Source organism: Homo sapiens, chromosome 10 (genome assembly GCF_000001405.40).
Source record: "Homo sapiens chromosome 10, GRCh38.p14 Primary Assembly".
Taxonomy (NCBI): Eukaryota; Metazoa; Chordata; class Mammalia; order Primates; family Hominidae; genus Homo; species Homo sapiens.
The window spans coordinates 54,390,114-54,415,770 of record NC_000010.11 but is presented as its reverse complement, the minus strand read 5'-3'; the positions used below and the strand labels follow the sequence as shown (position 1 = coordinate 54,415,770).

At 34.7% G+C, this 25,657-nt stretch overlaps 1 protein-coding gene across 20 annotated transcripts in view, besides 2 other annotated features; it reads left to right on the top strand.

The window, feature by feature from the left end:
• The window catches only part of PCDH15 (protocadherin related 15), a 1,825,172-nt gene that overhangs the window by 1,212,172 nt on the left and 587,343 nt on the right, over positions 1-25,657 (top strand). The gene's annotated exons all lie outside the window — the stretch shown is intronic.
• Positions 4,616-5,164: an enhancer, noted in NCBI's record as "NANOG hESC enhancer chr10:56170367-56170915 (GRCh37/hg19 assembly coordinates)". NCBI's record gives its function as "activates a minimal SCP1, AML or CMV promoter by ChIP-STARR-seq in naive H9 embryonic stem cells {active_cell/tissue: H9 hESC(naive)}" and the evidence as "EXISTENCE:reporter gene assay evidence [ECO:0000049][PMID:30033119]".
• Positions 20,698-21,366: an enhancer, noted in NCBI's record as "OCT4-NANOG hESC enhancer chr10:56154165-56154833 (GRCh37/hg19 assembly coordinates)". NCBI's record gives its function as "activates a minimal SCP1, AML or CMV promoter by ChIP-STARR-seq in primed H9 embryonic stem cells {active_cell/tissue: H9 hESC(primed)}" and the evidence as "EXISTENCE:reporter gene assay evidence [ECO:0000049][PMID:30033119]".

Sequence of the window (25,657 nt, the reverse complement as noted above, 5' to 3'; positions counted from 1 at the left end):
AAGTCACCTTTCTACCATTTCTAATATTTTCATTGTTTGTCTGTCACACTAAATTTACCTTTATATCATCCCTAGTGGCCAATATAATATGTGGTATATAGATTGTAATAATACATTTTATAATCTTTGAATTTTTTTGATTATGTTCAACTATTTTCTTTTCACATATATCACATCTGTGAATATTATTTAAAATAATTTTGCATAAATACTTAACTATTTTCTAAATTACTTTCAAATAATCCCATTGCTAAAATTTGAGAATCTCCTGCCTTCTTGACAACATGGAATATTTATTTTCTTCTTTCTACCTTTTTTTCTTCTCTTGTTACTTACTTTAGTACTTCTCTCTTTTTATTACCTCCTTCTCTGTCTGATTTTTTTAAACTATTGACTATTTTTAAAAATTTCTTCAATTTTTCTTGGAACATCCATATTTTTTAATTGATCTTGAAACTTTTGTTTCATAGTAATACTAACCTTTGTAATTAGTGTGACAAAAATGTATTGCACAGTTTGAACCCCTTTTGTGGATAAAGACCTTATCAATAATTAAGCTGTGACAATAGGAAAAAAACAAACATATTACCACAATTTAAACATATACCACAATGTACTTTCTTATCATATTTTGAATTTTTTCATAAATACTTTAGAGGTATAGATTTTAAATATTTCTATGTGAAATATGAAACATTTTAAACATTTCTATGTGAAATGGTATTTCTGGTTGAATATTTTTCCTTTATGTAACTTGATATCACATTTCACGTTTTACCACATCAATTGATGCAAATACTTACCAATTTTTTTTCTAATACGTTCCTGGTTTTATGTTGTTCATTTAAATGAAATAAAATTCTATTTTTAATCTGCTTTTAAAATAAGAACTCTAGTATGATTTTAATTCTTTTTCTTCAAGTGCCAGCCTAAATCTTATATCATGGTATTAAAGAACATTCAGACAACCTGGCTCTACTACTTACTATTGCTGTTGCTTTCAGCAAGTGACATAAACTCTCTGGGCTTCGTTTTCTCATGTGTTATATAATGCTGATAATGGCATGTATCTAAAATTATAAATTTAAAATTTTTAACTTGTAAGTCTTTGTAAGATTGTAAAGAGACTTAAATCAGTTAATATTTTCATATAGCCTGACGTATAGTAAAAAGTTGACAACTGTGTTTTAAATAAAGTATCAAGTATTCACTGACTGAAAATTCTAACTTTATCAAAAATTTAATTTCAAAATAAATGTAATATATTCTTCCATATTTGTATACCTACTTCTGTTCTGTAGCCCAATATTATGTTTGTCATTCATTATAGGAGAACTCTGTCTTAATAACTTTCTTTTTATAGAGTTACCTGGTGATTATTCACATTTATTCCGTCATGTAAACATGCCAGGTCCAAAACCCTCCAAAAATGTTTGATTGGAATTATGTTAATTTTGTAGATTAATGTTAAGTTTGTAGATTCGAGTAAATGAACACGTTTGTAATATTCAATCTTCTCATTCAAGATAATGATATGTCTTTCATTTGATTCAAGTCTTCAGTTTTTGGCCTTCTAGGACATGTTATTGTTTCTTCTTATATCTCCTATGAGTACATGGTTTCAAATTAGTTCATGTCACTATTATAAATAGGATCATTCTTCAATTTTCTTTTGTAGTGTTTTATTTGTGTAAATTTAAGGGGTACAAGTGTTGTTTTGTCATATGTATATATTGTGTAGTAGTGAGAGGCTGAGAGATTGCTTTATGGGTACAACGTACACTATTTGGGTAATGATTTGGGTGATGATTACCAAATGTCCAGTGTAATCATCACCCAAATAGTGTACATTGTACCCATTAAGCAGTCTCTCATCCAGTACCCTCCTCCCACCCTCCCATTCTTCTAAGTCTCCAATGTCTATTATTGCAATTGTAGGCCATTATCGTATGTGAAATAACTCAGAAACAGAAAGTCTAATACCGCATGTTCTCACTTATAAGTGGGAGCTGAATAATGTATACAGACAGACATAGACTATGGAATAATTTCTCATTTTTTTAAATGATGAAATATAAGAAAGTTAAACATTTTTTAATATTTATTGGTCAGCTGGCTGAATTATGAAACTTACATTGATTCCCAAAAAGGCTTTTTTAAAAAGCTGATTACTTCAATTTCTGAAATAGAAAATCTCTTCATGTAGAAATATGATCAATAGATCTCTTACTTTTTATCATATTTATACTTGTTTCATTTGTTCACCTAGAGAATGAGCTAGCACTAAGGTTTTGAAATAGTAGTGTACATAAAATCACCTTGGTAGACTGTTGATTATATAGTTTCCTGAATATTGTTGTCAGAGGTGGAGATGCAGGAAGTGACCCCAGGAATCTGAAATTTTAAACAGCAACTCAGATGACCTTTGATCAAGTGGTTCCTGGACTTCACTTTGAGAAATAGTGCCTTCAGATTCACAAACCAACAATCACAAAGAGCTGTAATAGATAGCCAACCATGTATTATTATCATTAAATTGGAAGGCCCTTCGTTACTTGTCTATTAAAAAATTTTGCTATTCGTTGAGAGAGAGAGAGATGCTATATTGTATACAGACCATTCATTTATTTAACAAACAACTAGAATACAATACTATGGGCCAGGAAATTTGCTAGACTTTAAGTTTCCTGCTAAACATATGTTCATGCTCCCTTCTTTCGTGGAATACAAAGTTCAGTAAGCAAGTAGGTAGGCCATGGCCAGGTCTGCCTTTCTTAGTCTCTCCTGTGTGCATCAACAGGCTGTGTAGCCTTGCACACATGCAATATGATAGCACAAGTGTTGCCTGGTCCTTATCATCTAGCTTGTACATAAACAATGTAATGGCCAGGCGTGGTGGCTCATGCCTTTAATCCCAGCTACTCAGGAGGCTGAGGCAGGAGAATCCCTTGAACCAGGGAAGCGGAGATTGCAGTGAGCCGGGGTCACGCCACTGCCCTCCACCCTGGCTACAGAGCGAGACTCTGTCGCAAAAAAAGAAACAACAGCAACAAAAACAATGCAACAAGGTAATGTTGGTAGCTTGGAAACTGGATGGTAGATCCAAGTGAAGTTGCTTGTTGTAAGTAGCCAGTAACAGTCATTAATGCTAGAATTTCAGAGTGCTGTGTTTGAGGACAATAGAAGTTAGAACCTGGAAGGATCTCACCCTTAATAGGCATAATAACTACTATCACAACTAACTTCGGTGTATGTCCTCTGAGGAATTGAGAGAACAGAGATGTCTTGGTCATCCAAATTCCCCAACTTGAAATTGACTGAAATACTTTGCGGAGTATTAATCTTTAGGCATTTTAGAGAAAACTACAATACCTGTAAGATCAACTTCTTTTGTGAAACATCTCTTGCAAAAGCTATTTTAAAGATGTAATATTCAAGCAAACATACAAAGGTGGAAGTTCCTTTAGTAACTTCTGTTTTACTTAACATATATATAATTTTAAATATATATTAAAATATAAATATATATTTAAGAAGATGTATATTTTTAAATAAGATATTTATTTTTTAATTTTATCAGATGTTTTCCCTTACATTTGTTTTTCAGTTTGTTTACTGACCTCCATCTATTGTCAGTTCCTCCATCTATTGTCAGTTCCTCAGGCTCTTTTGCCCATCACATGCCTTCAATCTATAATGCACATTTCTCTACTTACCATCCTAGAATTTGCCTTCTTTAATCATTTAGCATGTGCACAGGTCACCCTAAGTAGTGAATAAACTACGGACATAGCCCCAAAAAGCTAAATATTCAAATTTCTATACTCCCCAGTTGCCTTTAACTGAAGTAGAAGTAAGAAGGAGTAAAAGAGAATAAATTAAATAATCTAGTCAAAGTAATGAGGATATGCTGATGATAAGGCCATCGTGCCCTCAGTATTAGTCTCTCTGACAAGTTGTATCAATTCAACTAAGCTTTTAATGTGAGTGCTGTGTGACAGGCATTTTCTTGTTTACTGGAGACATAGCCCCTGTAATTGAGGAATTCACTGTCTAGTCTTATATCAAAAGTACTGATATCCAGAAATAAACAATATAGAAATACACTGATCATTATGGTAGCAGCAACCAGCACTTATTACGTGTTTACTATTTTCTAGTCACACTGCAAAAAGACATATCTGTAGCTTATCATTTAATCCTTTAAAATAAATATTATTCCCAGTTTATAAACCAGGCACTGTGGGACAGAGAGACTAAGTAATCTTCTCAGGATCACATTGCTAGTGACTGATAGAATTGTGATTCAAACCCCACATTCTGAGTCTAGATCGTAAGGAATTAACATTTTTCTGAACAAGGGCTTACAGTTATACTGGTCTTTTAATTTTATTTTAAAAAGTCAGTGAGACTACAGTTGTCATTTTTTAAATTCTTTCAATTTTTAATTATGTAACTACAAAGATTCTGCACAAATTTTGGGAAGTGGCCTTTAAATCCAGCCAAAATAAAGACTCTAGTGCAACAATTTAGAGGTGCAGTGGGCCTATATATAACTGGAATATAAGCATGCCTGTAGTTAAATGTTCTATTCTTAATGTCCCACCACCCACCCAAGCATCATGGGTCAGCCTAGATCATACCTGTTATGGTAGCGGCAGGTGCTTTTTACTTGAATAACTCCCTTTTCATAATGCATGTCTGTGTGCTGCACATGCACACACACAAACACACATACAGAGACACATACTTAAACTCTATATATCAATTCTTTGCAAATTCTACCAGTAATATTGTAGAGCAGTATTATTCCAGCTATTCCTATAATTGAAACCTGCAGAGTCAGCTATTGAGCAGCAAATCAGGGCCCCTTATTCAACAATGCCAGCTCGGTCAGAGTCCTTATCTTCTCTCTTTTGCTCACAGTGGGTCTATCATTTTTGAAAGTAACTGTTGCCTTGGAACTTCTAATAGAATCCTCACTAAAATTTACATTTTAGCCTAACTTGCAGGAGCTTTCCTTAAAGGTTTGAAAATAAATATAATCATCTTATTGTATCTTCAGGAGGCCTCCTGTTTCCATTTTCCTCAGAAAATGTGTACATTGTGAGTTTCATCAAAACGTGAATGAGATTATTTGCAAGTAGACAGCAACAGGACTCCATGTAATTTATTCCAAAAGAAGAGTGTTTCTTTGCAATTATTTACCTAAATACTAGCTATTCAAAATTTTATATAGTATCTACAAGAATTATTAAACCCATCAGTTGCTGTTAGAATATTCCCAACTAAGTATTTTCTTTAAACACAATTGCCTTTGAACCCCAGCTTCCAGAGCTTTCCAGTCAAGCAAAGTCTAAAAGAAATAAATTAAAAGCCATGGCTGAATTCAAAACCATGATCTTTCTGCAGCCTGACTTGTTCTTTAGGAAAGGTAAATTGGAAGCTGCTACATGCTTTTAAGCAATCAAAAGGACGATGAGCCTGAATTTTTCCCCTTAGGCTTGTGTGCATATGAATAAGAACTAGATATGCAAGCAGAAAACTTCTTCTTCAAATCCATCCCTTCCCAAATTCTCAGAGGCAGCAAATATTGTGGCCTTATTATCAACCCAGCCCTGTTTTCCTGATTGTTTTAATACTGACATTTTGTCTAGATTCTATTTTAATTGATGTGTTATACAGAAGAATTACAGTTGTGAGGTTCTCACAAGGTATAGACAAAACCAGGTGTGAGATGGTGTCTTAATTGCTTTTCTGTTGCTGTAACAGAATACTGTGGACTGGGTAATTAATAAAGAAAAAAAATATTTCTTATGGTTCTGGAGGCTTGGAAGTCCAAGAGTATGGCATCGGCATCTGGTGAGGGTTTTATTGCTGTATCATACATGGTGAGAGGGCAGCACATAGTGAGAGGGCAAGAGCACCCAAGTCAGCTCACATCTTTCTTTTCTTCTAAAGCCACCAGTCTCAACATGGGGGACTAACTCTAAAGACCTTATCTAATCTTGATTACCTCCTCCAAAGGCCCCACCTCCAAATATCATCAACATATGAGTTTGGGCATTTAGTTTCCAATACACAAAATTTGGGGGGTACATGCAAGTCATAACAGATGAGAAGATGGTTTTGCTAAGACTGTAAGAAAACAGCTGAATATACTGTAAATAGTTATAGCAGTGAATACCACTATAGTATTTTGGGTAAGAGGTTGATAATGTACACAGTAAAGACCAGCTACCTGTAGCTTTTTTTTAATATCATATGTCCCTGGGGAAAGAATCTTCTAGTTCCTCATCTTCAACAGGATGTTTTTATGTGAAGTCTGCAATATCAGTTAGGGATATTAGTTACAAAAAACAATATACCCTAGCTTCTTCAAGCTGAAGGGACTTATTAAGTGGCATAAATAGTTCACATATGATTGAAAGGGTGGAAGAAATAGATTCTGTTTTGACCTGCCAGGAATGAGATGCAAAACCACAACATAACTGATCTGCTATAGTATATTTGGCCATTTTCACACTGCTGACAAAGACATACCTGAGACTGGACGATTTACAAAAGAAAGAAGTTTAATGGGCTCACAGGTCCACCTGGCTGGGGAGGCCTTACAATCATGGCAAAACGCAAAATACATGTCTCACATGGTGGCAGACAAGGCAATGAGAGCCAGGTGAAAGGGGTTTCCCCTTATAAAACCATCAGAGCTCATGAGACTTATTCACTACCATGAGAATACTGTGGGAGAAACTGCCCCCATGATTCAATTATCTCCCACTGGGTCCCTCTCACAACATGAGGGAATTATGGGAGCTACAATTTGAGATGAGATTTTAGTGGGGACATAGCCAAGCCATATCACCTAGGAAATGCTGCCTTTCCCATGATCCAGATGCCTGGTTCCAGAAAGCTGATGCCAACATTGCCAACTACAGAACCACAGCTAACACCAGAACCACAGCACTTCCACCCCGATTTGTAACTGCAAAAAGTGTAACACCTGTCCCCTTCATAGTACATTCTGAACAATGTCTTATATAAAAAATAATCTTGTCAGAGTAACCCCAATCATACATAGAATCATAGCTGCAATTGAATCCTTTAAGTATAATTTTAGCTTCTCAGTTATGCGGTTCAGAAACATGTGCAAAGGAGGTAGTTGGAATAAGTTTTGTGTAAGCTGATCCACAGCATCTGCTACACTTGTCACATGCTGTCACATCATGATTTGTCTCATACATAATGATAGAAATAATGTAAGAATATTGTAAAACATGTTAATAGATTTTCTTTTCAAATCACTTTGGACTGATAAATATTATAGGCAAATTATTAAAATTAAATTTACAACCTTGGTTTTACACCCAATTATAGTAGTTCATATTTTACATATATGGAATAATTCTTATAGTTTGTAATGAGACTATACATTTATCCCCATATATTTACATATTATGTGAGCCCATTTCAAAGATAGTACTTTTAAGAGAGGAAATTATATGTTGTGGGATAACATTGTCACCTTCAAAACATCATTAACACTTCTGCAAAATATAGTTCTATATAGAGAGAAAGCAAGCATGCATCAATTTTTTTTTTTTAAAAAAACAGCTAATTATGTTCCTAAATATAGTGAAGAAAACTCCTAGGGTTACCTTAGAGGAAGTAACTTTTCTATTTTCTTTGCTTCCTTTTCCTTTTTTTTTTTTTTTTTTGACAGAGTCTCATTCTGTCACCCAGGCTGGAGTTCAGGGACATGATCTCCACTCACTGCAACCTCCACCTCCCGGGTTCAAGTGATTCTCATGCCTCAGCCACCCTAGTAGCTGGGATTACGAGAGTGAGCCACCACCCCGACTAATTTGTATATTTTTAGTAGAGACGAGGTATTGCCATATTGGCCAGGCTGGTCTGGAACTCCTGACCTCAAGTGATCCACCCGCCTTATCCTCCCAAAGTGCTGGGATTATAGGTGGGAGCCACCACGCCCAGCCATCCCTTTTCCTTTTTTAGCAAGAGGAATTAGAAGCTGTTTAAGGGTCAGGAAAAGCAAAAAATAGTGAAGCACGTTCTCCTGGATCACTTGATTCCCTTGTGGACACAAGTGAATCCTTGTACTCTTAGTTTTCTGGGTGGAAAATAAATCACCTTTAGATGTCTGCTTGAATTAAGTGAGAAATTACAAGGAACCAATATTTCAGCAAAAACATGTGACAAATGCTTTTTAGCTTAAGAGTTTTAAAATTTCAGTCATATACAGAATAAATTGAATGCCATAACAAACTATCCTGGAGCCATTATCCAGATTAAAAAATGATAATATTAGACTATTTTTTCAACTATTCCTCCACCAATTTGGAAGTGACCTTCCATATGATTATTATATTTATGGATATTTGAGGTTAGATTTACCTACATTGAAATCAATGAAATATACCAACGTTAACTATACAGCTTTGAAAAGTATATACACACATGTAACTGCCACTCTGACAAGGTATAAAACATTTAAATACTCTAAAGAGTTCCCAGGTACTCTTTTCCAATCAATTTTCTCCATCCTTTTCCCCAAGCAACCACTGATTTGTTTTCTATCACTATAGATTCATTTTGCCTATTTAAGAAATTTTTATCAGTGGATATTGAGCACTTCATGTAATTATTACTTATTCATGCACATTCCTTCAGGAAGTTTCTTTCAAGTGTTTTGTCCACTTTAAAATTTGTCCTTATGTTATTGAGTTGTCATAGAGTTTTGTGTATTTGGCATACAAGTGTTTGTTAGACACAAGTTCTGCAAATATTTTTCTTCCAGTTTATAATTAATGTAGAGGTATCTTTTGAAGAATAAAAGTTTTAAATTTTTAAGAAACTCTAATATATTAAAGTTGTCTTTTATGGTTGTTTCTTACTGTGTTGTTTCATAGCAGGTTATGAAGATAATCCCCTGTTTTCTTCTAAATACTTTGTAGTTTGGCCTTTTACTCTTACGTTTGCTCCTTCTTTGATTAATTTCGTGTTTGTTAGGAGGTAGGGGTTAAGGTTAACTTTTGTTTTTCATATGGATACCCAGTTGTCCTAGCATCATGTGTTACAAAGGTTTTTCCTGATCCATCAAATTCCTGTGAAGTGTTAGTGGAAAGGCTACTGCGGTTCTGTTTTTTGCCTTTGTTCCAAAAATTGCCAAATTATGACTCCTGGGCTGTTTTTATGTGGCTCACAATCTAATAACAATTTTGGCATCTTTAAAGTATTGTCAAAATAAGAGGTAGAAAAAGAGGCAGAAGAGGAGAAAGGAGGAGGAAGAGGGGCAAAAAGTGACAGACACCTCATATGTGTCCCACAAGGCCTGAAATATTTAATATCTGGCCCTTAAGGATAAAGTTGACTAATTCCTACCTATTCTAGTCCATTTATTTATTTATTTATTCATTTATTTATTTATTTCTGTGGCTTTTTAGTACATCTTAAAATCAGATAGATAAAGCCTTCCAACTTTGATCTTCCTTTTTCTGCAACTAATTCATTTATTTAACTGTGGTATACATTAATGCATAGCTCACGAATACTGAAATTCACAGGTACACAGACAATACACATAAAAAACAAAAAGACATAATGTGTATTGTTAATACTATAAGCCCACACACAATACACACATTCATATTTAGTACGCAGATCTGTTCCATACAATAACTGTTTGGATGTCTGCCTTTAATTCAATGTTCTATAAGGCTCCATCTCTAACCAATGTAGATAAACTTTGAAAAGACTGATTTGGGTTGGGCCAGAAAAAATACAAAGAAGCAGACCAATATGGTAGAAATAAGAACATTCTTGTACATTTTTTAAAAATTGTGAAACAATACACTAATACTTTTTCTTTTTTAAAAGAATTAAAACCTTACAGATTAAAAAAAAAACACCTCAACTTCTAGCCTTCATGTATTGTTTGGAAGTAACCATTATTACATTTTGTATATATTCTTATACATCTCTCTTTTTTACAGTTACATAAATATATTTGTACCACTACAAATATTGCATGTAATTTTTAGTTTTTTTTTTTAATTTAACTTTTATTTTATGTTCAGGAGTACATGTCCATGTTTGTTATGTAGGTAAACTTGTGTCATGGGGGTTGGTTGTACAGATTATTTCATCACTCAGACATTAAGCCTAGTACCTACTAGTTATTCTTCCTGATCCTCACCCTCCTCCCACCCTCCACCCTTCAATAGGCCTCAGTGTGTTTTGTTCCCCTCTATGTGTCCACATGTTATCATCATTAATATCCCACTTATAAGTGAGAACATACAGTATTTGGTTTTCTGTTCCTGCATTTGTTTGCCAAGGATAACTACCTCCAGCTCTATCCATGTTCGTGCAAAAGACATGATCTCATCCTTTATATGGCTGCATAGTATTCCATGTGGTACACATGGAATGTACCGCATTCCAAGTTTGGTTTATGTACCACATTTTCTTTATCCATTCAACCATTGATGGGCATTTAAGTTGATTCCATGTCTTTGCTACTGTGAATAGTGACACAATGAACATTTACATGCATGTATCTTTGTGATAGAGCAATTTTTATTCCCTCAGGTATAAACTCAGTAATGGGATTGCAGGGTCGGATGGTATTTCTGTTCTCAGGTCCGTGAGGAATCACCACACTCTCTTCCACAGTGGTTGGACTAATTTCCACTCCCACCAGCAGTGTATAAGCATTGCTTTTTTTCTGCAACCTCACTGGCATCTGCTATTTTTTGACTTTTTTAATTGTAATAATAGCCATTTTGACTGGTGCGAGATGGTATCTTATTGTGGTTTTGACTTGGATTTCTCTAATGATTAGGGATGTTGAGATTTTTTTCCATACGCTTGTTGCTCATATGTATGTTTTGTTTTGAAAAGTGTCTATTCATGTCCTTTGCCCACTTTTTAATGGTTTTTTTCCTTAAAAATTTGCTTAAATTCCTTTTAGTTGCTGAATATTAGACCTTTGTCAAATGCATAGTTTGTAAGAATTTTCTCCCATTCTGTAGGTTTGTCTGTTCACTCTGTTGATGGTTTCTTTTGTTGTACAGAACCTGTTTAGCTTAATTAGATCCCGTTTGTCAAATTCTACTTTTGTTGCAGTTGCTTTTGGCATCTTGGTCATGCCATCTTTGCCTGTTCCTGTGTCCAGAGAAATGGGTTTTTATAGTTTTTGGTTTTACATTTAAGTCTTTAATGCATCTTGAGTTCATTTTTGTATATGGTATAAGGAAGGGGTCTAGTTTTAATCTTCTGCATATGGCTTGTCAGTTCTCCCTACACATTTACTAAATAGGGAGTCCTTTCCCCATTGATTGTTTTTGTCAGCTTTGTCAAAGATCAGATAGTTGGAGGCATGTGACCTTGTTTCTGGGTTCTCTGTTCTATTCCATTGGTCTATGTGCATGTTTTTGTACCAGTACCATGCTGTTTTGGTTACTGTAGCCCTGTAGTATAATTTGAAGTTGGGTAGCCAGATGCTTCCAGCTCTGTATTTTTTGCTTAGGAATGCCTTGGCTATTCAGGTCCTTTTTTGGGGCCTGAATATTAATATTAAAATAGAATATTTTATCATTAATAAATATGAATATTTATAATATGAATATTAAAATAGCCTTTTCTAGTTCTGTGAAGAATGTCATTGGTAGTTTAATAGAAATAACATTGAATCTATGAATTACTTTGGATATTATAGGTATTTTAGCAAAAATAATACTTTCTATTCACTAGCATGGAATGTTTTCCATTTGTTTGTATCATCTCTGATTTCTTTAAGTAGTGTTTTGTAGTTCTTTGGTAGAGATCTTTCACCTTCCTGTTTAATTATATTTCTAGGTGTGTGTGTGTTTGTGTGTGTGTTTGTGTGTGTGTGTGTGAGTGTGTGGCAGTTATGAATGGGATTGATTTCCTGATTTGGATCCTTGAATGTTATTGGTGTCCAGGAGTGCTAGTGATTTTTGTACGTTGATTTTGTATCCTGAGACTTGCTGAAGTTGTTTATCAATTTAAGGATCTTATGGGCCTAGATTTTGAGGGTTTCTGAATATAAGTTCATGTCTTGTGCTAGCAGGGGTAGTTTGACTTCCTCTCTTCCTATTTGGATGCCCCTTTTTCTTTCCCTTGCCTGAGTGCTCTGGCCAGAACTTCCAATACTATGTTGAATAGGAGTGGTGATAGGGGGTATCTTTGTCCTGTGCCGGTTTTCAAGGGAAATACTCCAGCTTTTGCCAATTCAGTATAATGTTGGCTGTGAGTTTTTCATATATGGCTCTTATTAGTTCAAGGTCTATTCCTTCAATACCTAACTTTTTTGAGAGTTTTTGACATGAATGTGTGTTGAATTTTATCGAAAGCCTTTCCTGCATCTATTGATGTAATCATGTGGTTGCTGCTTTACCTTGTACTTTTGTGTTATGGAGATGGCTTATTTCCTTAAGCCTTATGAACCAACATCTACAAGATTCCAATTTTTCTTCTGTGGCTTCCTCACCTCTCTCAGCCTTCATAGCTATGTAGAGAGCTAGGTCCTTGCTCTGGATTTTGTTTTGGCTTAAGAAAATATTGTGTCTTGTTTGATCTTCTATTCAGATCACTCAAACTTTCTACTTATCACCAATAAGGTTTTTTGGCTTTCTTATCATTTGTGCATTCACTAGAATAGCACTTTTAGTTTCCCTTAAGAAGTTTTTCTTTGAATTCATAGCTTGGCTAACTGTTGGATGCACGATGTCTAGCGTTCAGCCTATCTTGGTTACAACATGCCTTCCTCATTAAGCTCAATAATTTCTAGTTTTTGATTTAAGGTGAGAGATGTGCAACTCTTTCACTTGAACCCTTAGAAGCCATTGTAGGGTTATTAATTGGTCTAATTTTAATATTGTTGTGTCTTAAGGAATACAGAGGCCTGAAGAGATGGAGAAAGATGGGAGAATGGCCAGTAGGTGGAGCAATCAGAACACACAAAACATTTCATGAATTAAGTTCAATGTAATGTGGGAATGGTTTGCGGCATCCCAAAATAATTATAATAGTAATTAATAGTAAAAACCACTGATTACAGATAATCATAACAGATATAACAATGAAAAAATTTGAAATATTGCATGAATTACCAAACTGTGACACACAGACATGATGTGAGCACATGGAAAAAATGGCTAATAAATTTGCTATTTATTTGAAGGACTGCCACAAATCTTCAAACTTTTAAAAAAATGCCGTATTTATGGAGTTCAATAAACTAATAAAGAAAGCAATAAAAGGTGGCCTATCTGTATTTAATATTTTATACATAAACGATCATGCTGTTTCTAAATAGGAGCATAGTTCTTCTTTGTTGTTAATATATGTCATTGATCCTTGCTTTATTTCAGTGGCTAGGAATTCCAACTACCATGATGAATAGAAATTATAAGATTGTATAATCTTGCCTTCTTCTTCCCGTCAGCTTTAATTTAGTTCTGTTTTCTTTAATGTAAATATTTTGCTTATCAGATTGAGGAAGTTACTTTCTATTCCTAATTTGCTTAATATTTTTTATCTTGAACACGTTTACTTTTGATACATGAATTTTCTGTGTTGTTTGAGTTATGTTTTTTTCCCTCACTCTGTTAATAAGATTTTATGTATTTTATACATTAAACCAACCATGCATTCTTGGTAAAACCAACTTGGTCATAATGCATTATTTTATAGATTGCTGGATTTGATTTATTTTCTAAATAAATTCATTAAGTATTTTTGTATCTGTGTTAATGAGGATATTCATGTGTACTTTTTATTCTTTGATGTATTTTTGTCAGGTTTGTTATCAGGGTTATGCTAGCATCAAAAACCAAAATAGTATGTGTTTCCTATTATTTTTTGTAATAGTTTGTTTAAGATGTGTTCTTCTTTATATGCTGGTAGAATTAAGCAGTAAAGTCATAAATTATGGGCATATACTTTGTAATTTGAATTGTATATGTTTTAGACTTAATTCTTCAATTTATTCAAAATTGATGAAATTTTTATTGACATTACATGAGGAGATTTTAGCATCCTTAAGCTACTGAGTTTTACAATCCATTAATATAGATTATACCTTTGTTTAGATTTCTGTAATTTCTTTCATTCATGTTTCACTTAATTTTTTGCTTTTTTCCTTGTTCAGAGTCATTGAATATAATCTTCGGATATTTGACGGGTATTTGGTGTTTCTTGATCCTATTAAGAATGAGTATCCATTTTAGCATTTCAGGTTTCTCTTTGCTCTTAGAATAAGGAGTTATTTCTAATGAGGTTACCTCTACCAGCATTTATAGATTTACAGTTATAATTGAAACATTGAAAATATACTTAACCTAAAATGTCAATTTTTTTTTTGAATCTACAACAGCATAACTTTGCTTGCCCTAAATCTCTCATTTTTTTTCCAAAAGTCATATACAGTTTTTCTGTGTAGGTGATATTGAAGTCATCAATATTCTGTAATGCTATGACAATAACAAAGAAAAGCCTTTACAGAAAGTGACCATCTATAGCTAAAGTTGTTTTTAGACAAAGCCAGGTTTTAGCATAGTGTAGAGGTGAAAGGAATCTACAAGAGCCAGGCACTATCTCTGAAGAGCAAAGACTTTTAAATAATTTTCTTTCTGTTTTTCACAAATGTTACTAAAATCTTTTTAATTTCTTAATTATGAATGGTTTCGAAAATACATGTCCTGCATTTAAAATTACTGAATACTTTTAAGCTCCAAATTCTCAACAATGACAGTTTCCTGTCTATAGCTATGTTCCCTTTACTACAAACTAGATGAACAATACCTATAAAAATCAAGTAAGGAATTCAATTTACTGTTTTTTATGTAAAACATAATCATTCTCTCTCTTTCTCTCTCCTCTCCCTCTGGCTTTTTTCTCTTTTCGTCTATCTTTCATTGTTTAATTTTGGTGATATTTTGCTGGTAGATATCTGGAAGAAATCTGGACACAGTCTGCATGTTTTCCTCTCGTCTTTGTCATGGAAATGATACTTTGATAATGAATTAATAATTTTCGATTAACTGTCACTGTGCAAGAATGACAAATTGTATCAGGCTCCTATTGTCTTTTCCAGGGCACTGAAAGAGTACATATTATTCAGAATATTAATTTCTTATGCATATTCATAGCCCAATACAAATATATATTGACTCAAAATTTAATTTAATAATGACAGATGACTTTTATAACCATCTTTTAAAATATATATGACATAGTATCATGATGGAAACATGCATTTTATAACTTTCAATTGATGATAAGTTAGTAATGAAATAATTAGGGCTAGTAGAGTGAAAAATAACAAAGATAGTAGAAGTAGCTTTATCCGTTTATTTTCTGGGGGTAAAGAAATATTTTATCCACCTTCATGATTTTGATTTTAAACTATTTGTTGAAAGAGCCCCACATTTCTTATCAACTTAGTCCATTTTATGTTCAATTGGAGAATCACTGGCTTTTATTGGACATTACACATGTATTCCTTTCTCTAGATAATTTTGCTAATGTGCTAATCCAACAAATACTTTATCTCCTACTCTGAAATACATTAGACACAGAGGACTTCTAAGTTTGGCTAGAAATCTACTTCAATTTTTTTCCGCTTGGATATCCTTTTGTAGGCATCCCAGCTGCCTTAGAACCTGGGTGTCAACAACCTTGCTCTCTCTCTGCCTTATTCATCTCTGTTTCTTCAACTTACTAAATACTGATTTTCATCTCCTCCAGGTTTGACCCTGGAAAAAGCATTAGAGGTAAAAAGAAAAGAAAGGGTGCATTGCTGTACTCTCTAGGTCTGATTTTGGCAACTCCTGAGATTGTGAACCACGTAGGCAGATTCTTTGGAGACCTCCAAATTTGGATAGCTGTTTCTGGCAATTCCTGGGATGGCTGGAGAATTTGTCTTCTGGTCACTAACTTTTGCTGTTCCCGCGGATGTGGCTGCACAGCCCAGCGTCTTACTGCTGAGGTCTCCTCATTCCTCATGGTGATTCTCTTGGGCTGGGCTTGAGATCATCTCCTTCTTGTCTACTCTCTTGCATGGCCCACATTTGCTGGTGGGAAATACTCACTTGAGACTCATCTCTAGTTGGAATACAGTTATTTCCTAACCGCAGACCATTAATCTGCAAAAGTTCTTCATTTAGACTTTCACCCTTTAAAATTGTCAAGTGAAAGTCAGACACCCTTCAACTAATTTCTCTAAATTCTCTAACTTCTGTAAATTTAGTTCTTTTCAGAGAAACCCACCTGATGTTCTTGTCATCAAGCTTATGGAGAAATGCAAGAAGTCTGATGACTCTTTGTTGATAACTTGCAATTATCACACTGTAATATTGCTTTCCTCCCAAATCCTCAGTGTCCAAGCTACCTGAGCCTCCCATCTTTAATCATTATATTATTTATATTTATATTATATTTAATCATATAAATGTTACACACTGAACTTCAGTGGCTTCTTTTCCATGTCCTACAAAAGTTGTCTGCAACTCTCTTCACTGAGAGTAGGTAGCATAGTTTTGGCTGAAACAGTTTCTTTTTAAATGTTCTGTTACATGTATGTGATTATGTATTCAAAATGGTTTCTAAAAAGAAAATGCTTTCCTTCTAAGAGAGAGTTGTTGAGAAAATCAGAAAGGAACACATATATGCCAAGTGGACATGACAGAATAATTTGCAGTATAAAATAAATCACTTTTAAGAAAGCCAGAGACAGTTTACTGTGGCAGAACATACTGTTTGGTGTAAAATTCTATAGTTTAGAAAATATGTTTGATGTCGGCCATTTACATTATTTGAACTTTAAGGTTTGTATACATACCACTAAAAATTGTCCATTCATTTTAGCAGTGTCTAGTTTAATTCTATCCTATGCTTAGTTCATAAGGCAACCCGGATACTTGGTTGTCTGCAAGGCTATTGATTATTTCTAGGCTACCAGAATATTTGGGGTTTTTTTTCTGATTTAAAACAACAAATAAGCAAATAATCCAGCAGCAAATAAAATAACCTAGGTTCTAATATCAGTTTTTTTTGTTTTTCCAGGTTGCACAAGAATAAGATACTATGTTGGGGGGCATTTTTGAAGGGTTAAATTTCACTTACAAACTTTCCTTGGTCTAAAATTGAAGGTAAGATCACATAAGTGGTCTTGACCTTTTCTAAAATTTTCCTGCTGTGATAGATTTTATCATGGTTCATTTTGTAACCAAACTCTAATTTATTAGCTAGTATTGTTAGGACAATTTTGTTATATAAAAAATTGCTAGAGATGGAAATTTTAGTCATTGTTTCTGAGCACCTTTGGTGGTAATTTTTGATCTATAAAGTTTATTTGAGATTCAGAAGTGTGAACCTATTTTTTTCACAAATTTTGATTTAAGTAACATAACAACATCATTAGGATAATATAGATCACTTAAAGGCTTATTTTCTTCCATAGTGTTTTTTTAATTAAGACTAATTTTTTTTTAAACAAGCAAGATTTTGAAATTTTAGGAATACATTAAAATTAATTTTTATTACTTTTTATGTAATAAAATCTTAAAGACAGGCAAAAATAAAGCAAGTTACATGGAAATAAGTCTGATAGTCATATAGTTACTTTAAAAACCTTACCATCTGATCTCTGCATGGGATAAGACTTAAAAGGTATTTTGAGTAAGCAATGAATAAGATAATTGAAGTAATAACAAAAACTCATATTTGTGACCAACTGGGATAGTGAACCAAATTGATTTACTAAAATCTATCTCAGCAATAGATCTTTGAACAGGTCACCATGAAACCTGCCCCTATTTTTTAAGAACTTAGGGGAATTTGTACATTGACTTTGAAACAGAATATCTTAATTTTAAAAGGTCTAGAATCCTTGTAATAATGAATAAAACATTTGTCTGGCAGAAGTATCTTTTGGCTAATATGTAAGAATTTTTATTTTAAGAATATCAGCATATCTAGTGCATCTAGAAAAAACTCTATCACCACAAAAGTTGTTATTATGATTATTTATACCTTTGCCATTTAGTGCCTGGTTTGATGCACACAATGTTGTTGGAAACATATATTCATATTTTATGTTTGTGATTATTTATCCATTTTTATAATATAAAATTAAGTTCCAATATGAATCCCATTGCCAAAATAGAACTTGACTAATTAAGGTTCTCTTGAAGAAAAATTATACCAGATAGAGTTAAACAGGCAAGACTTTATTCAAGGCTATTGCAATAGTGGATAGAAATTGAACTCAGTTCTTTTGAAACACAATGCAAGAAAATTTTAGTGGAAAAGCATTGGAGGAAGTGAAGGGAAGGTTGTTCCCTGAGTTTGGACCACATTTAATTGTTTAATTGTTGCTTATGGAATTTAGGCTCCTATTATCCATACAAACTGGGAGACTGGGAAAATATCTTTCTGGATAACAATATTTCAAAGGGATGTCTCCAAGTTTTTTAAGACATCCCTGGGTTATAAAACTCACAAGTGGCTGGGAGACTATTTACATCTCAAAGAGTCATAGGAAGAATTTACAATGGAAAATTTTCTGAAGTAAACACTCTAAGAAAATAAAGGTCAGGACATGCAGTCAGGAAGAAAAGTGTTTAAAGTTTCGTCAAGATGAGGGCAATATTAAAGCCATCTTGCTCGGTTTGACTTTATTGCAATTCAGAAACAATGGTTGAGAAATTCATAGTTCGACACAATATTGCAGAATAAAATTACTTTAAAGTATATAAGAAAAATATTGAGGGAAAATAAGATAGTACACAGTCCTCCTCCTTCAAATTTTGTTTGAACATTTTCCACTGTCGGAATATTTGGAAAAAAATCAGAATAAAGGCTTATCATATCCATACTTGAATTGTCAAATTCTCTGTTTTGAAATCATAGTTTGAACTTTTGTTATTATGCCTAAGTATTTCCTGATGCTGCATTTTAGAAGGATATGTCTGTGTTTGACATGAAATATATTTCAAAATATGCTATTTTTCTACTTTATGTTATTGCATTAACTTCCAGAATTAAAAAGTGGCCCTTTTCCTTCATATATCATGTCAACTTCTAACACAGAGACTGATTTTTAAGGATTATAATTAAAGTGTATCAAAAGAAGAGTGTTGGAAAGAGAATGAAATGTGAGTTCTCTGTCAAGACACTTGCTCTGTCAGCCAGAAAATACTAAATAGCTATTTGGAAGAGGAATAATATTTTTTTCCTCAATTCTGATAAAGTATTAGTTGGAATGGACCCATGGACCAAAAGAGAGATTAACAAGAGAAAAGCCAGAGAAGTTTATTGACGTGTATTTCATATATACATGGAAGACAGCAAGGGAATGAGTAGCCGCCAAGGAGGTGAGTTTGAATTTCAGCTTATATAACGCATTGTTCAACAAAGAACAGTAAAGTTTTAGGGAAGCGACATGACAAAGGAAAAGGATTTTGAATTTCTAAAGACAGCAACTTGAGGCAAGGCAAAGAAAAGGCAGATAAAGGCTAAGTAAAGCTTGTTAATGTAGATTCCTCTGGTGCCATCTCCAGGCCCATAACAGTCTAAAGTTCTCTTCAGTGGATAACATTTGTCCTCCCCGGTTTAGAGGGGAAGGGGGATATTTTTTGTCTTTGTAAATGTATATCGTCCTTTTAGGTAAATAGAGGCAGAGAGCTTTTCTTCATCTGCTTCTTAATTGCCTTCAGCTCAACAAACCTTATGCCAAACCATCCTAAATTGGGGTGGCATATTCTGATCTCCCATAGGTAAATTGGTTCAGCAAGAGCCTTTTCTTCAATTATTCCTCACTCCACTCCCATGCACAGTTTCATATTATATCTACAATAATACATTGAACATTTATACTCTAAAATGTATTAGATATATTTATGGGACTTAATAAGTCACATTCTCAGATACAGCATGATTAAATGCATTGAAAAATGTGGTACTCATGTATTATTACAAGATAGAAAAAACATTCTTATAAGGCAGTCAGTATATTGTGTATAACTACCTTTGTGTGTGTAGGTGTGTGTGTGTGTTTGTGTGTGTGCATGTTTGTGTGTGTATAAACTTAATGTCATCAGTAGGTTCTTGGAAACTGTGACTTTAATCAAAACGATGCATAACAAAATCCATTTTTTGCGTATTATAATTATATCTAAATGACTATGTTATTCAAGGACCTATTGTATGTCATTTCACTTAAGGTCATATTTTCCAAGAACTTAACAATATTTAGTGGGTTCTTAATGTGGGTGTGTGTGTGTGTGTGTGTAATACATGCACATAGAGATAGACAGGAATAATAGTCACTAAGTTGAAAGCATCTTTTTTTTTTTTTATTTTATGTTGCGGGAAGTCAGGGACCCCAAACGGAGGGACCTGCTGAAGCCATGGCAGAAGAACGTAGATTGTGAAGATTTCATGGACATTTATTAGTTCCCCAAATTAATACTTTTATAATTTCTTATGCCTGTCTTTACTGCAGTCTCTAAACATAAATTGTAAAGATTTCATGGACACTTATCACTTCCCCAATGAATACCCTTGTGATTTCCTATGCCTGTCTTTACTTTAATCTCTTAATCCTGTCAGCTGAGGAGGATGTAATTACAGCCTCAGGACCCTGTAATAATTGCATTAACTGCACAAATTGTACAGCATGTGTGTTTGAGCAATATGAAATGTGGGCACCTCGAAAAAAGAACAGGATAACAGCAATTGTTCGGGGAATAAGAGAGATAACCTTAAACTCTGACCACCGGTGAGCTGGGCAGAACAGAGCCATATTTCTCTTCTTTCAAAAGCAAATGGGAGAAATATCACTGAATTCTTTTTCTCAGCATGAAACATTCCTGGGAAAGAGAATACCCACCTGGAGGTATAGGCTTATAAACAGCGCCCCCAGGTGCGCCTGCCTCTTAGGGTTGAGGCTGCAGGGATGAAATAGACCCCAGTCTTCCATAGCGCTCCCAGGCTTATTAGGAAGAGGAAATTCCTGCCTAATAAATTTTGGTCAGACCAGTTGATCTCAAAACCCTGTCTCCTGATAAGATGTTATCAATGACAATGGTGCCCGAAACTTCATTAGCAATTTTAATTTCACCTCGGTCCTGCGGTCCTGTGATCTTGCCCTGCCTCCACTTGCCTTGTGATATTCTATTACCTTGTAAAGTACTTGATGTCTGTGACCCACACCTATTCGCACACTCCCTCCCCTTTTGAAACTCCCTAATAAAAACTTGCTGGTTTTTGTGGCTTGTGGGGCATCACGGAACGTACCGACATGTGATGTCTCCCCTGGACGCCCAGGTTTAAAATTTTTCTCTTTTGTACTCTGTCCCTTTACTTCTCAAGCTGGCAGATGCTTAGGAAAAACAGAAAAGAACCTACATGAATATCGGGGCAGGTTCCCCGATAATTTTATTTACGTGTATCTTCTAAGGAGTCTACATATAATGCAACATATTCTAATGCTATATAATAAGAATGTAAAAATGAATAGATTCATGTAATTTATGGCAAAAAATATCTATCTCATCATCAGCCTTAAGAGTTTCTACACAGGCTAAAATTAAGAAAAAATAATTATATGTTTTCAATTTTCTTTATAACATGGTCATATTTTCATTTTCTTTCTTCATCTCTCTTTCTTTCCTTCACCTTCCTTTTTCTTTCTTCTTTTCTTCGTCTTTTCTTTTTCCCTTCTCTCCTTCCTTCACCATCCTAAAACATGCATTAAGCCATGTTTCAGCCATGGAGTACCACGTGATATGAGGTTTATAAAAGCATACTTTAGAGCACTTCTGCCCATCAAAATTAGTCAACCTAGAAATGGAAATGACATGTGCATTATTAGCTATAGGGTTGTATATAATGAGAAACTTAACAATTGTGCCATTGTGTTATTTGTGTCTTTTTTCCCTAAAAAGTGAATGGGCTCTTTATACTGAAAATATGAGGCAAGATAGATGAAGATTGGGCACTTGTTTGGATCAGGAATGGTGGATAGAATATTGTTCCAAGTTCTTGTTAAGATAAAATACAGATTATATTTTTAAAATATCATGGAAACCTTTCAGTTTTATTTGAAAAGGTTGTGAATGGAAACTTTTTGTGATGTAAATGAAGCTTAAATAAGCTTGAATAATGAGTTGATATATTTTCCCATATCTCTTCCTCTTAACGTTTGCCTCCCATTCCAATACTTGTGTTCTATATTCCATTTAGTTCAGTTTTTACTGTTCACTATTTTTCATGGCAACTATCATATTCTGAGTCTATCCCTCTGCAAATGATATGGTAAGTGCTAAAAATGTAATGGTATCTCCTGTTGATAGATCTGTATTTTACCAAAAACCTTCTTGAGAAAGAAAACTTTGCCACAAGTGCAGTAGTTCAGATGATAATCATTTCAATCTCTGTAACAGTTGGAGATATGATTGTGTTGCCCCATTGAACAACTGTGTAAGCTGACTACCATTAGCTAGAAAGGTACTTGACTTCATACCACCACTGTGTTTAGAACAGAGTTTGTTGACAGCTTGTATGTAGTAAGGCTGATTTTATTAATATGTAGATTTTTTAAGCATAGAGATTAAAACAGGCTTGCAAAGTGCTTGAATCTAAATTCAGATGGAAATTAGCCAAACATCTTAAATCATTAATTAAAATGTTATCAAAACTTTAAAATTTTAATCACATATCAGTGATTAAAAGTTATGATGTACTTCCCTTAGCCATACTCTGACTAGAGGAGCAGCTTTCTCATGTTGCAGCAATGCAATTTTTTTTTTTTTTTTTTTTGAGCCTGAGTCTTGCTCTGTCGCCCAGACTGGAGTTCAGTGGCATAATCACGGCTCACTACAACCTCCACTTCCAGGGTTCAAGCGATTTTTCTGCCTCAGACTCTCGAGTATCTGAGACTACAGGAACGCACCACCATGCCCAGCTAATTTTTGTATTTTTAGTAGAGACAGGGTTTCACTATGTTGGCCAGGCTGGTCTCAAACTCCTGACCTTAAGTGATCCTCCCACCTCAGCCTCCCAAAGTGCTGGGATTACAAGCATGAGCCAGCGTGCCTGGCCACAGATTTTTTTTTGGAGCAAAATATAGAATTATGTAACGTTATAAATACTATCAATATGATCTAAGGACAGAAGTATAATCTTTCATTACTCACAATAAAAGCTAATAAATTAATACATTTCTTTTTTTTTTTTTTTTTTTTTTTTTGAGACAGCCTCACTCTGTCACCCAAGCCAGGCTGGAGTGCAGTGGCACAATCTAGCCTGACTGCAACATAGTCCTCCTGGGTTCAAGTGATTTTTCTGCCTCAGCCTCCCAAGTAGCTGGGATCACAGGCGCCCACCACCATGCCTACCAAATTTTTTTGTATTTTAAGTACAGATGGGTTTCGCCATGTTGACCAGACTGACCTTGAACTCCTGGCCTCAGGAGATCCACCTGCCTCAGCCTCCCAAAGTGTTGTGATTACAGGTGTAAGCCGCCATGCCCGGCCAAATTAGTACTTTTTTTTAAATTAAACTAGCTTTCAAATGTGTATGCAATTCTTATAGTGGAAAGAGAGAGATTGAAACAAAGTACCTGTACTATAGAGCAAATTATATAACTAAAAGTTGATTTTATACAGACACATAAAGGAAACTACAACTAAACAATGTCCAGTACCACAGTGTTATTATGCCTCACACTATATGGCACTTGCTTTCCTAAGCCAATCACTTAAGCTTTAACTCATAAATTTCCTCTCAATTTCTCCCGAATCTATATCCCATTGTTGATTGAGATTCTCTTGACAAGACCAATTCAGAAGACAATGCCTTGAGGAGGTAATGTGCAGATACATCTGTTTGCCTTTTACATCCACTCTTCACCTTCTCAGAGATGCATGGATTGCATCAGAAGGCTCCTGAGCCATCTGACATTCAGTTGGCTTCCACAAATGGGCAAAGAAAGGAGAATATGAAGGGAAAGAGGTAAATAATAGCCAGGTATGTGTTGCATAGGTTCTCTCCAAGCTGGCTGCCTTCTTTTCTAAACATGGCTCATGTTATATGACATTTCCCCATTAGATTATGTTGTTTTTTTTTTTTCCTGATGAAATTTTTCTTCTGTATTCCTTGTTTGTCAGTGTATGACATTACCTCTTATAGTTCCCCTATACCCTACTCACACCTCTCTTAAGCTTTCCTTTACTAAAAACACATTGGTTTATCTAAATTTGAGGGTGACATTTTCTTGCTGGTACACCAAGTATTATAGTAATTGGTGCTTGACTTGTCTCTAAGAAAAAAAAAATAACTCAAAATGAGATTCTTGGATTGGAGTGTGCATATTAAGGATCCATGCATAAACTCCTTTCGTGGAGGTGGGAGATTCACATAGCATGTGGCTAATTTTTGCCAGGTGTGGCATCACAATTACTCAAATGACACCTGTGGTGGCATGGGATGAGTGCAGGTATAGAGTATTGGATGATCAAGTGGCTGCAGCAATTACTCACTGTAGCAATAGTTGTAATTATTATTACATTTGGTTTCTCATGACAACCAAGTGTATATTCTCTATATACTTGAGAATGTATATAGGGAAAATGTAAACTAACAGGTATAAAATGCAATAAGAGCACATGGGGAAACAGAAGGTCATCAGGGCAGCTTTGAAGGAGCCCATCTTTTTATGATTATAAGTGTTGCAGAGATGCAACATACTTGGAACTCTCAACCCTTTTGATCCTCTTAACCTATAGAAAAGGCACTGAAAATTGGCACTGGGGAAGAAAAGGGACATTGAGACATGAGATGGGAAAATGATAATGGTGAAAACATTGAATATCTCAATTTCATGAACTTTCTGGCTAGTGAACATAGACCCTCTCACTTTCTCTAGTCCTCTTCTGCCTAATAGCCTTACAGTAACTATATTTGGACAGTTTCCTCAAGAGCTAATGTCAATTCTTTTCATGACCCACTTATACCATCTCTCATTGATTCTAGGGCCATAAGAAATGTTAGCTTTTAGTCAAGACAGGAATATAAGATCTTTTTTAAAACAAGATAGCCTATACTACAAAACAGGTATAGGTTGGCTGGGCACGGTGGCTCACGCCTGTAATCCCAGCACTTTGGGAGTCCGAGGTGGGTGGACCACGAGGTCAGGAGATAGAGATCATCCTGGCTAACATGGTGAAACCCTGTCTCTACTAAAAACATACAAAAAAATTAGCCGGGCGTGGTGGTGGGCAGCTGTAGTCCCAGCTCCTCAGGAGGCTGAGGCAGAAGAATGGCGTGAACCCCAGAGGCAGAGGTTGCAGGGAGCCGAGATCGCACCACTGCACTCCAGCCTGGGCGACAGAACGAGACTGTCTCAAAACAAAACAAAACAAAACAAAACAAAAGGTATAGGTCATTGTCACTATTGGCAGGGAGCTAGAAATCATGCATGGGAGTGAATTCTAAAGACGTTAGACAATGGACAACAAAATACAAAACTTGCTGAAGCTGAATTCTTTTGCATGAATGCATTCACCCTGAATTCAGGGTGTGATGTTTTGGCTACCACAATGAA